The following is a 13,521-nucleotide window of genomic DNA, read 5'->3' on the forward strand; positions in this document are numbered from 1 at the left end:
AGTGGCATCGTAAGAATCAACCTGAAAACCTAATTTTGAATGTGTGTTGGGAAGTTCTAAGTAAATTCATTCTGGTGAGTTAACATCATCCAGAGTTTGAAATTATTAATCCAGTAATATCTTTATAATGTTTGATTACCTTGGTAAATCTAGTTCTGTTCTTTCTCTTCTACTTTCGGAAAGAGGTGTGGAGAATTGGTTTTATTTTTATTTAAATACTTGACATAATTGAGCTGTAAAACCATCTTGACCTGGAGTATTATGTAAAGATTCTTGATTTTTATTTTAAACCCTTTAATAGATATATTACTATGTAGATGTTTGCTTTATTTTCTGACATATTAGGAAAAATTTTGAGGAAAAATTCTTAATTTTTTTAAGTTGTCAAATTTGTTGACAGATGTTCATTATATTCTGTTACATTTTTGATGTTGGTAAGAACTGGTATTTCATAACTGATATTGGTAGTTGGTGATCTCTTTCTGTTTAATTTGAGTTTTATCAGTTTTGTTAACCTTTTTCAAGAGTCTACTTTTGGCTTCTGTGTTTTATCTATTCTGTCAATCTCTATATTTTAATAGGAAAATTTGGTCCACGGTCATTTAATGTAAATTGTATATGGTAGAATTTGTCTGACATTTTATTTGCTTCCTGTATGTTCCTTCTTATTTTTCCACTTGTTTATTCTTGCCTGAATTTTTTTAAAACTTAATTTAAATGCCTCAATTGGCTTTTAAAGACTTTTTAAAGAGAAGTTATACTTCTCTTTAAAATTGAGAGGAAGATACAGAGATTTTCCATATACCCACTGCCCTTACACATGTATAGCCTCACCAATTATAAACATCTTCCACCAAAGTGGTATTTTTCTTACAATTAATAAACATGCACTGACACAGCATTATCACCCAAAGTTCACAGTTTATATTAGGATCCATTTTGTTGTTGTATTTCTATGGGTTTGAAAAATGTATAATGATATATATCCCCATTATATTGTCATATTGAGTATGTACATGGCCTACAAAATATTGTCCTCCTCCTATTTATTCATCTATTCCTCCTCCACTGATCTTTTTTCAGTCTCCATAATTTTGCCTTTTCCCAAATGTCAAGAAATTGATCCATTTTATCTAGGTTATCAAATTTGTGTGCATAGTTATTGATAGTATTCTTTCGTTATCCATTTAACATCCATAGGCTCTGTCATTTCTGTTATTAGTAATTTGTGTCTTTTTAATCCTTAGCCTGATTAGAGGTTTATCAATTTTATTGATTTTTTAAAGAATCAACTATTAGTATCATTTTTTCTATTGATTTTCTGTTTTGCTTTTCATTAATTTCTGTTCCAACTTTTATTATTTCTTTTCTTTTGCTTATTTTAAATTTAATTTGTTCTTTTTTTAGCTTTCTGAAGTAGAATATTGTATTATTTATTTTACACCTTTCTTCTATTCAAATATATCCATTTTGCCGGGCATGGTGGCTCACGCCTGTAATCCTAGCACTTTGGGAGGCCAAGGCAGTTGGATCACCTGAGGTGAGGTGTTCGAGCCCAGCTTGGCCAACATGGAGAAACCTCATCTCCACTAAAAATACAAAAAATAACCAGGTGTGGTGGTGCGTTCCTGTAATCCCAGCTACTCGGGAGACTGAGGAAAATTGCTTGAACCCAGGAGGCAGAGGTTGCAGTGAGTCAAGATTGCGCCATTGCACTCCAGCCTGGGCGACAGAGCAAGAGTCTGTCTCAGAACAAAAACAAAAACAAAATCCAACAACAACAACAACAAAAATATATATCCATTCAATCTCATAAATTTCTCTCAGCCCTGCTTTCACTGCATTCTATAAACTTTCATAAACTATATTTTATTAAGTTTAAAATATTTTTAAATTTGATATTATTTCTTGACCCATGTTTTATCTTGAAGTATGTTATTCATTCTTCATATATGTGGGAATTTTTCAGTTGTCTTTCTATCACTCATTTCTAATTTTAATCCATTGTGGTATGGATGCATCCATGGTAATATGGTTTGGGTTTGTCCTCACCCAAATCTCAACTTGAATTGTATTCCTAAAATTCTCACATGTTATGGGAGGGACCCAGGGGAGGTAATTGAATCATGGGGCCCAGTCTTTCTCATGCTATTCCTGTGATAGAGAATAAGTCTCACAAGATCTGATGGTTTTATCACGGGTTCTCACTTTTGCTTTTTTCTCTTGCTGCCACCATGAAAGAAGTGCTTTTTGCTGCCCACCATGATTCTAAGGCCTCCCCAGCCATGAGGAACTGTAAGTCCAGCTAAATCTCTTTTTCTTCTCAGTCTCGAATATGTCTTTCTCAGCAGTGTGAAAACAGACTAATACAGTAAATTGGTACTAGGAGTGGGGTGTGGCTGAAAACATACCTGAAAATGTGGAATCAACTTTGAAACTAGGTAACAGGCAGAGGTTGGAACAGTTTGAAGGGCTCAGAAAAAGATAGCAAAATCTGGAAAAGTTTGGAACTTCCTAGAGACTTGTTGAATGGCTTTTCCCAAAACACTGATAGTGATATGAACAATAAAATCCAGGCTGAGGTGGTCTCAGATGGAGATAAGGAAATTGTTGGGAACTGGAGTAAAGGTGACTCTTGTTATGTTTTAGCAAAGAGACTGGCAGCACTTTGCCCTGGCCTTAGAAATTTGTGGAAATTTCAACTTCAGAGAGATGATTAAAGGTTTTTGATGGAAGAAATTTCTAAGCAGGAAAGCATTCAAGAGGTGACTTGGTTGCTGCTAAAGGCATTCAGTTTTATAAGGGAAACAGAACATAAAAGTTCAGAAAATTTGCAGCCTGACAATGCAGTAGAAAAGAAAAACTCATTTTCTGGGGAAAAATTCAAGCCAGGTGCAGAAATTAGCTTAAGTACCAAGGAGAGTAATGTTAATCCCCAAGACCATGGGAAAAATGTCTCCAGGCCATGCCAGAGACCTTCAAGGCAGCCCCTCCTATCACAGGCCCAGAGGCCCAGGAGAAAAAAGTGGTTTCATGGGCTGTGTCCAGGGTCCCTGTGCTGTGTGCAGCCTAGGGACTTGGTAACCTGTGTCCCAGCTGTTCTAGCCATGGCTGAAAGGGGCCAACATAGAGCTTGGGTCATGGCCTCAGAGGGTGGAAGCTCCAAGCCTTGGCAGCTTCCATGTGGTGTTGAGCCTGCATGTTCATAGAAGTCAAGAATTGAGGTTTAGGAACCTCTGCCTAGATTTCAGAAGAGGTATAGAAACAACTGGATGCCCAGGCATAAGTTTGGTGTGGTGGGGTGGGGTGGGGTGGGGGACATAGGGGCTCATGCAGAACCTCTGCCAAGGCAGTGCAAAAGTGAAAAATGGGGTTCAAGCCCCCACACAGAGTCCCAAGACCATGAGAACCCACCTCTTGCGTCAGTATGACCTGGTTGTGAGACCTGGAGTCAAAGGAGATCATTTTGGAGCTTTAAAATTTGACTACGCCACTGGATTTTGGACTTGTGTGGGCCCTGTAACCTCTTTGTTTTGCTCAATTTCTCCCATTTGGAATGGCTGTATTAACCCAATACCTGTACCGCCCATTGTATTTAGGAAGTAACTAGCTTGTTTTTGGTTTTACAGGCTCATAGGAAAAGGGACTTGCCTTGTCTCAGAGAAGTCTTTGGACTGTGGACTTTCAGGTTAATGCTGAAATGAGTTAAGACTTTGGGGGACTGTTGAGAAGGCATGATTGGTTTTGAAATGTGAGGACATGAGATTTGGAGGGGCTAGGGATGGAATGATGTGGTTTGGCTGTGTCCCCACCCAAATCTCAACTTGAATTTTATCTCCCAGAATTTCCATGTATTGTGGGAGGGACCTGGGGAAGGTAATTGAATCATGGGGGCTGGTCTTTCCCATGCTATTCTCATGATAATGAATAAGTCTCATGAGATCTGATGGTTTTATCAAGGGTTTCTGCTTTTGCATCTTCCTCATTTTTCTCTTGCTGATGCCATGTAAGAAGTGCCTTTCACCTCTCACCATGATTCTGAAGCCTCTCCAGTCATGTGGAACTGTAAGTCCAATTAAACCTCTTTTTCTTCCCAGTCTCAGGTATGTCTTATCAGCAGTGTGAAAATGGACTAATATATATGGTATGATTTATTTTACTATTTTATTTTGAGATTGGGTATTATTCTGTCACCCTGGGTGCAGTGCAGTGGTGTAATCATAGCTCACTGAAGCCTCTAACACCTGGGCTCAAAGGATTCTCCCGCCTCAGATACCCAAGTAGCTGGGACTACAGACATCACCACCACTTGAGGCTCTGATTTCTATCCTTTTAAAATTTGTTAAGGTGTGTTTTATGTCTCAGAATGTAGTCTACTTTGGTGAATATTCCACATGAATTTGATAATTGTATTGTGCTGTTGTTGGATAAAGTATTCTATAGTGATCAATTCTATTGAATTGATTGATATCATTGAGTTCAACTGTGTCCTTATTAATTTTCTAACTGCTGTTCTATTTCTAATAGAAGGATGTTGAAGCCTCTAACTATCACAGTGGATTTATTTACTTCTTGCAATTCAGTTCATTTTTTTCCTCATGTATTTTGATGCTCTATTTTCAGGCACATATAAATTAAGTATTGTTATGCCTTTTTGGAGAATTGACCCCTTCTTCAGAATGTAATGCCCCTCTTTACCCCTGACAACTTTTCTTCCTTAATATAGCTATTTGCACGTTATTGTGATTAGTGTTAGTATGCTATGCATTTCTTCATTTACTTACTTTTACTGTATATGTCTGTTTATATATGTTTATATATGGAGTGGGTTGTTGTAGACATCATATAGTTGGGTGTCATTTTTTATCCACTCTGAAAATCTCTTTTATTTGGTACACTTAGGCAATTGAAATTAAACGTGATTATTGATAGAATTGGTTTAATATCTATCATATTTGTTACTGTTTCCTATTTGCTACCATTAATGTTTGTTTCTATTTTTATGATACTTGATAAACTAGGAACTATTTTCAAATGAAACCTGCCAATTGTGAAAGTATAACTTTACAATTTGTAATTTTTTAAAATAAAAGCACACTTTACATAATACAAAACATTTAAATGCATGAGCATAGGTAGAGAAAATATAAAACATGTTTGGAAAGGATTCATACCATCTTCAGGTTGGTGTTTACTTCTGGCATTGAGGAATGGATAATTTAGTTTTTACGGTCATAAGAAGAAATGCATCATTTATTTTAGGATATCAAAATTGGGGGAAAGACCAGGTGGGTTTATTTAAATTACAACTAATTATAAAGAAACAAGAAAGATATAGGATATTGTTACAGTATAGTGCAGGAAACATAAATTTGAAGCAGGAAAGCTCTTCCATTCCTAAATCTAGACTCAGCAAAAGAGATAATTTTCCCCAATTTAAAAGTGGCTTTCTGTTGAAAAAAAAATCATCATAAAGTGTTCACCATTAGAGTGTTAAATAATCTGAGTTTACTCTTTTCTATCCTGTAATCTCCTACTGCATTTTTCCAATGGCATCCAAACTGAAAGTCAGAAGAAGGGAACCTATTAAATCAGTACCTGTAGATCAGCCTACCATGGGATAAAGCATGAAGAAATGTGTAGAAAGCAGATCTGAAGAGCAAAGAGACGATATCTCACATCATCCATTCCATTTACCCCTTAACATCCACTTTTGTACTTAATCTTACTAGAATATTATCTACTGGAAAGAGAAAATATTTAAAGTCTTATCCATCTATATCATCACAGAGTAATGACAAATGACAACAGGAAAGCAAATTGTTAGGACACTTAATATAAGGTAGGAGGGGAAAATAGGATAAAATAACACAATTATATGCAATAAAATATAGCACTATAGTCCCTCCCTGTGGCAAGTTTTGAGGACTAAGTTGGTAATCATGGTTCCTTCTTCAATTATACATTTGTAGTTACCTTTACCTTCTGCTAGCACCTTAGCTAGATTGGCTAGATTTTACTTAGTGGATTAAAAAGATCTTCATTCTAGCAGGATCTAAGTTCTTATTGGTTTTGTGTTTATTCAGTTGCCATAACATTCTGTTGATTAGAATTGTTGGGCAAGAAGATATAAGAGGTGCTCCAGTGGGCTGGTCATGGTGGCTCACTCCTCTAATCCCAGCACTTTGGGAAGCCAAGGCAGGCAGATCACGAGGTCAGGAGATTGAGACCCTGGCTAACAAGATAAAACCCCATTTCTACTAAAAATAAAAAAAATTAGCTGGGTGTGGTGGCATGCGCCTGTAGTCCCAGCTACTCGGGAGGCTGAGGCAGGAGAATCTTGAACCTGGGAGGCGTACGTTGCAGTGAGCCGAGATCGCACACTGCACTCCAGCCTGAGCAACAGAGCAAGACTCTGTCTCAAAAAAAAAGGAGCCCCAGTGAACCCTGGACTCCAAATATATTTCTCCTTGTTCCTATTGTGTTGTAGCAACCCAATTTCTCCATGGTAATTTTAACAAGTCTTCTAAGCAAACATAGTAATTGTTTTTCTGCATTTTGTTTCATTGGCAAGATGAGCTTAACATGGCCATCAGTCAATCTCAGCTTCCAGTTTACAGTCAAGCATAACAATGTTTCCTGATGAAAGCGTTCATCCTTGGATACTAGGGCATCTGAACGCATTGAGATAAAAATCATGAAAATGTAAATAACAAGGCCTCCTCCATCCTATTTCTTTATTCCTGGATCAGCTCACCTTGGTTATGAAAAAGTTAATAAGAAACTCAGTTCTGAATTTTTGGGTCTCATTACTGCAAGGTGGATCCCTAGAAGGATCTAGTTATTTTTTATTTGATTTTTTTTCTTGTAGGAAATTATATAAGTAGACTGGGTTTTATGTATATTGAGTTTGAAAAAGGATATCTAGATAGAAAAGTATAGCACATAGTAATATAGGTAACTGAAGCTCTCAAGACTAGACAGATATCTAAGTACAGATTTACAATTTGTCTACAAGGATGAAAATAATCTAATCAGAGAAAATCAGATATCTCGATAAAATAAAATAAAGTAAATGAAAAGTTGACCAAAGGGACTTGTAACATAATCATGTTTAAGTTTTAGGGGAAGGGAAAAGAGCTAACAAAATAGGCAGTGGAGTAATCTGAAAGATGGAAGAATCAAGAAGATGGAGTGTAAAGCCAATCAGAAAAACAGGATTATCATTGAGGATGTGATCATGTGATATACTGTAGAAAAAAAGACATGAGATATCCTTGGGCTTGTTCTTTTGGAGTTCATTCAGGATCTTGACAAGAGAGGTTTTGCTACATCACCTCAACAGAAAACCTCTAGGTTTTAATAAAAAGTGTACATGGTAAGGCATTAAGTGAAACTATGGAAGTAGTAAAAATAATATTCTTTTAAAACTTGAGTAGTTAAAAAGAGAGTTGATTGTAAGAATATTATTTTTCTAAGCCAAATGAAGTTTTGTACCATCCAGACTGAAAAGGCCAACTGATAGCTGAGAAGAAACAATTAAAAATATTAATACAATAAATAAGTATTGATGTATTCTAATGAATTTTCAAGACATCAGTGATGAAGAGGACACGTTGGAAAACTGTCAAAACAAAACAAAGAATGTTTTGTATGATAAGCACAAGCAGCACATTAATTTCAGACTGTAATTTGCAATAATCAATACTTGAAAATACATGTCTAAGGAAAAATAATAAATTTATATCTAATCCATGCATAATTCAAATAAGAAAATAAAATTAATGTTTTCTAACATTCAAGGAGTGGGAAAGCTTACACATTTTTAATATTATTATTTTTGTGGTGACGCGGAATCCTTTGAGCAGCCATTTATGTTTGGAGAAAGTCTCATAAGTTCTTCTTTTCTAATGGGAAAGTTGATATTTACTCTCCACTTTTCCCTTTATTCTGGAGACTGGAAACATGTGATTTCGGAACTGCCAAGCAAATAGAGTCGGTGATATTTTAATTAAGAAATAAGCAACTTGAAAAATAAAGCACTGAAAAGTCTCAATCTTTAGATGATGTAACACTGGAGGCCTTTTAAAGGCAGCAGTTGCAAAGCTTCTGAACACGTTAATGTATTGTATTGTGTGTAAACAACAGTTGTGTGCTCACTAAATCAGCTTTTGAATTTGAACTCCTGACTGTATCACAGATTTCTGGGATATCCTTCAACAAATAATCTGTATTCTTAAACTAACCAGAGTGTATAGTGTTGTGGCAAGTATTAAAACTGATATAGTATTTGGTGCCACATTGAGGCAACAGAAAATGGAAATCTTTCAGTAAGGTTGTAGCTAATAGTACAAAAAGATGTTACTCGAGCAGCCCACCGTGTTTAGAGGCTGAATGGTAATAAAATTAGTGCATTTGATCAAGAATCATAAAACTCCCAGTGAAGGCAAAGCTTTGAGGCATCCAGTAGCCACTGGCACCAAACAGTATGATGAGCATGAAGAACTGAAAGAAGGTAGAATGGCTTGTGGCTTCTAATTACACTGTGAAGTTAAACAAAATTTCAAAATCCTTGGCTCAATATATGTTAAGAGATCTGGGAGAAAAAAAAATCTGTGATTTCTTATAGGTTAAGATAACATAAAATTTGATTCAATGGCTTTCTAATTTATGACAATTTTTGTTGGGAATTTTTTTCTAATATGAAAATTAGAACATAAGTTTGAAAATATAGAGTACTATATTGTAAGGGAAAACTATCGGATGCTTTTGATGGCTCAAAGAACCTAAAAAAAAAAAACCTGATGTTTTATTAAACAGCTCTTGTGGTACAGTGGGAAGAGATAAAGTTGGAAACTGTATGACATTGATTTCTATGAGTAATGAAATATAAAATATTGTGATGAGAAGTGTCAAATTGAAGTCCATGAAGTCCTCTCTTTATAGAAAATCCAAAGTTTTCTCACATTCTGAATAAATCAAAGACATTAACGCAATATTTAGGACTTGACCAATTTTGGAGACATCCTCATGACACCCAGAGGCATCTTGGTGGCATTAAGAGCTTAGTTATATTCACAATAGCAAAGACTTGGAACCAACCCAAATGTCCAACAATGATAGACTGGATTAAGAAAATGTGGCACATATACACCATGGAATACTATGCAGCCATAAAAAATGATGAGTTCATGTCCTTTGTAGGGACATGGATGAAATTGGAAATCATCATTCTCAGTAAACTATCGCAAGAACAAAAAACCAAACACCAAATATTCTCACTCATAGGTGGGAATTGAACAATGAGATCACTTGGACACAGGAAGGGGAACATCACACTCTGGGGACTGTTGTGGGGTGGGGGGAGGGGGGAGGGATAGCATTGGGAGATATACCTAATGCTAGATGACGAGTTAGTGGGTGCAGCACACCAGCATGGCACATGTATACGTATGTAACTAACCTGCACAATGTGCACATGTACCCTAAAACTTAAAGTATAATAATAAATAAATAAATAAATAAATAAAAAATGCAGGAAAAAAAAGAGCTTAGTTAAGGGAAACAGACACACTAATTCAAATTTTAAGTCTACCACTTACTATTTGCATTTTCTAGGACAATTTTTTTTTTAATTTTCTATACCTGCATTTTCTTATTTGTAAATGCAAAGAAAAAGTACTGTCTACCTGCTAGAGTGATTTATTGTAAGCATTAAATGAGATAATTGCAAAGTCTTAGAACAGAGTTTGAAATAATGTGTGTGTTAAAATTAAAAGATATGTTTGGCCAGTCTGGAATTCAAATAGACTTCGAAAAATGACAATAATTTATTGCACGTGAAGTTGCTTGTTAAATTCAGCGTTTCATTTGCTGTGCCAGATTGGCCACTTTATTGGAGGAAATAAACAAGAGAAAAAAAAGCCTTTGGTACCTATTATTTCATTCTTGAGCTGTCAAGGGATTTATCTCCTGTATTTCAAAAACCTGGAAAACTAAAGGAGCCATTGTCATTCACTTGGCACATGAAGCAATACACTTTCATTACCTGAACTTAGGTCGGTATCATTTTTATTTATATTTCATAGATATTGGTATCTTTTCATGTAACAGGATAAAAACCCATCCATTATAATGATGCTAAGATAATAATAGTGCTGTCTTACTGAAGAATAGGTGTCCTGTATTTCTTGCAAAAATCAAATTACTGTAGGTAGGTGAGAGAGAAGTTGGTTAAAATAATACATGTTATCTTAAGTACATTATAATGTAAAAAATGCATTTTCCATTCTTGTTTTAATTATATTTTGACAGATATAATTGATTTTTTGTGCATTTATTCTGCTTTGTTAATTTAATCTATCAGATGGACTCTGCCTTTTAATGCTATAAATTAACTCATTTATATTGTTGTTAAAATTGAAATGATTTTTATGCTTAAAATATTTGTGTATTTTATAATTTATAACTTCCTATATTTTTAAACTTTACTCCAGTTTAATTATTTTTCCTTTGTTCATCATTTGTTTTAGCCTGTGTTTTGAAAAGCACTGAACATATTGTTCAGGTAACACATTAGTGTATTGTTGCAAAGAGCAGATCCTACACTTCCTCCTCTATCACAATGAAGCTGACACTCTTTATTGAATACTCCTGCTAGATCTGCAACCTATTTGATGGTTCTCTGTGGAAATTGATGCTATTTCCTCATTCCTGCTACCTCCACTGGATTAAATTCTCTATGATCTCTATTGATTCAATAAAAATCTACAGGAGGTTTATATAATTAATGGAATTTACAACCATGCTTTCAGTTCAAAGGATTTGGGGTTTTTAGCATTTATGATAAGACTTCTGCCTCATAAGACGGGAGGTGCTCCAAAAGTAGGAGAGAGGTTCAGCGGTTCTGTTGCTGGATGACTAAGAAATTGGCAAATATCTTTCAGTATCCCCTTTTTTGGCTGTACATTATCATAAAAAGGGAGGGGGGCCAAACCCCCTCACAACTTTATTTATGACTGATATTAAAAAATATATGTAACTATTTTCCCCAAAGAAAAACCCTATGTCTCTTCAACCTTTGCATATCAAATTCTGAGCCCTTTAAGTGATATACTTTCCTCTTGCTTTGTTTTTCATGATTTTCCATAGATATTCTGTAATCCATGGACTAAATGTTAAAGCAAACGAAAGCCAATACATTCCTATATAAAATGGTGTAGGAGAAGAAAATTAAGAAATAATAAAAATACATGATTTCCATCTCATAGCAAGTGAAGACATGCCAGTTAATGATATATATCCAATTCTACAATTAATACTGATTCTATTGTTACTATTTATAAAGGATCAAAAATAATTTGTGTTAATTTCCTCAGTGGTCACAAAAGGAGATTCTAGATTCTGAAAACTAGAGAAAAATAAATTGTAATATACCTTCAGAAATTTTTGAAGTTACTACAAAAGAATAAAAATTTATTTTAAAATTTTACTTTATTACTTGAAGAAGTGGAAAAATAAAGCAAAAAAGTCAAAGAAAGGCAAGGAAATATAAAAGTCATAAGAATAAGTATATCAGTATAATAATGTAAAAGGGCTAGATTTCTGAATCATAAAAATTAAGGATATGCATGGTAGTTTGGAAAAGCACATAATATATATTATCCTGGGAACAGTGCATAAAATACTTTTTCAATACATCTCAAAGAAAAACAAAGATGCCTACTTATTAAAGTCATAACAATAAGATTTAATATAAAACATTTTAGATGGGGCAAAATGTTCATCTTACATTGATAAAATGTAAACCCATAAAGACATAACAAGTATAAACCTCAATATTTTTATTTTAAGCAAAATATTTGGTAATATTTCCACTGAACCGTTTGTTTTCAGGGAACTTTCAGCTCCTCCTATCCCACCACTGATCTTATTTTCACCGTTAGCATTCTTTGGAAGCTCAACTCTCTGCAGAATGGTATTGGTTCAATATTCTATCAAAATTTATACTCTTTATACATTTTTTATTCTTCTAGCCAGTTTATTTCAAATTTACAACTCTCTTAATGTCCTCATGTACTTTTGAGGCAGGATATTTCCCTGACCCCTTCACAGAACTCACAACGGGGTGCCTCATTTACTCAGCTCACAGTTCTCAACTCCTTGAGAGAGGGAGCGCACAGGCGAATGAGGTGGGAATTGGAGTGCAGGAGTGCTGGAACTAGCCAGATACTTCGGCACTGTTTAGGGGCAAACTCCACTATGGGACTCACTGCATTTCACCCCTCCAGGGAGGGAGCACAGAGATGAGTTGGTGCGGAAGCTGGGGTGAGCACTTTTGGGCACCAGCAGGAGGAAACTCCATGCGGACTCTGTGGCAGCATCTTGTAGTGGATGCCCAGGACCCCTGAAGCCCTAGAGGGAGAGTTACAGTGCTCTTTTAGCTCTGCCTTCCGTGTACACCTTAAATGTTAAAAGCTCAGTGGGCCCTTTTGTCTCTGCACTCGTGGCTCCTGAGCTCTTGTCGGGCATCCATGAAAAACGAGGTCACATGAATGAACTGAAGAATGGTAAATGCGGGAGATTTTACTGCTGATGGAAGTGGCTGTCAGTGGGAAGGGGGACTAAAAAGGGGATGGGACAGGAAGGTAATCTCACCCTGACGTCCGCCCATCTGGCCGAATTCCTCTCTGAGGTTGCTGTAAAGCTGTTACTCTGACGTCAAGCAGCTTCTCTCTGAGCTCCAGCTGTAGTCTCTGACATAACAGCTGCTTCTCCTCTCTGCTGGCTGAGTCTGAGGTCTTTATATCCACAAGATGGGGCAAGGCGGGTCATGGGTAGTTTAGGTAAAGGCAGCATTTGATTGGGAAAACAGGTATAGAAATGCTCAGTTTGGGCTGCGGTCTCAGGCTTTTCAGCTTGAGAGTGGCACTTTTGCAGGGACTGGCCCCCATCAGCCAATAATTTCTCTGCCCCTGTCCCTATCACTTTTATTTTATACTTTTTTCCTCGTGTATTTTTAAAGTTTATATTTTTATCTCCAGTATTGTTATAAGTTTTAGGCATTAAGTAAGAATAATATGAATGCTAATAATGATAAAATTATAACCATGTAGACAATATTGATGAAGGTAGTAATGATGGCAGTATAAAGACATACAATCAAACAGTAAAAATGAAGGCCTGTTTTTGAAAGGAAATAAAATATTTCTGGTTCTAAGACAATATATCCCAGAAAATTTTGCTATTTTTGTTTATAGCTTATGCCCCCATTCTTTTTCTCTTGTTTTCTTTTATTACCTGCAGTTATATTTGATTAATTTAATTGTATACTGGCTTATTTTCTATTCATCTCTACTGTGATGTTTGGAATTTGAAAGTTGGAATAATTTTTAAATGAACTTCCCTTCATTCTACGTGCAAATATTTCGCAGAGTAGCTCTTGCTTTTCTTGTGCCCTAACTTCTTTGAAATAGATTCACTCACAAGAGATGAATAATAAAACCCTTCAAATAATTATTT

At 35.6% G+C, this 13,521-nt stretch overlaps 1 annotated feature.

Moving 5' to 3' along the window:
- Positions 6,834-7,003: an enhancer, noted in NCBI's record as "experimental_26433 CRE fragment used in MPRA reporter constructs". NCBI's record gives its function as "activates a minimal promoter by MPRAs in K562 erythroleukemia cells, with activity observed for the non-introgressed 12:17599622 variant allele {active_cell/tissue: K562}" and the evidence as "EXISTENCE:reporter gene assay evidence [ECO:0000049][PMID:34662402]".

Source organism: Homo sapiens, chromosome 12 (genome assembly GCF_000001405.40).
Source record: "Homo sapiens chromosome 12, GRCh38.p14 Primary Assembly".
NCBI lineage: Eukaryota > Metazoa > Chordata > Mammalia > Primates > Hominidae > Homo > Homo sapiens.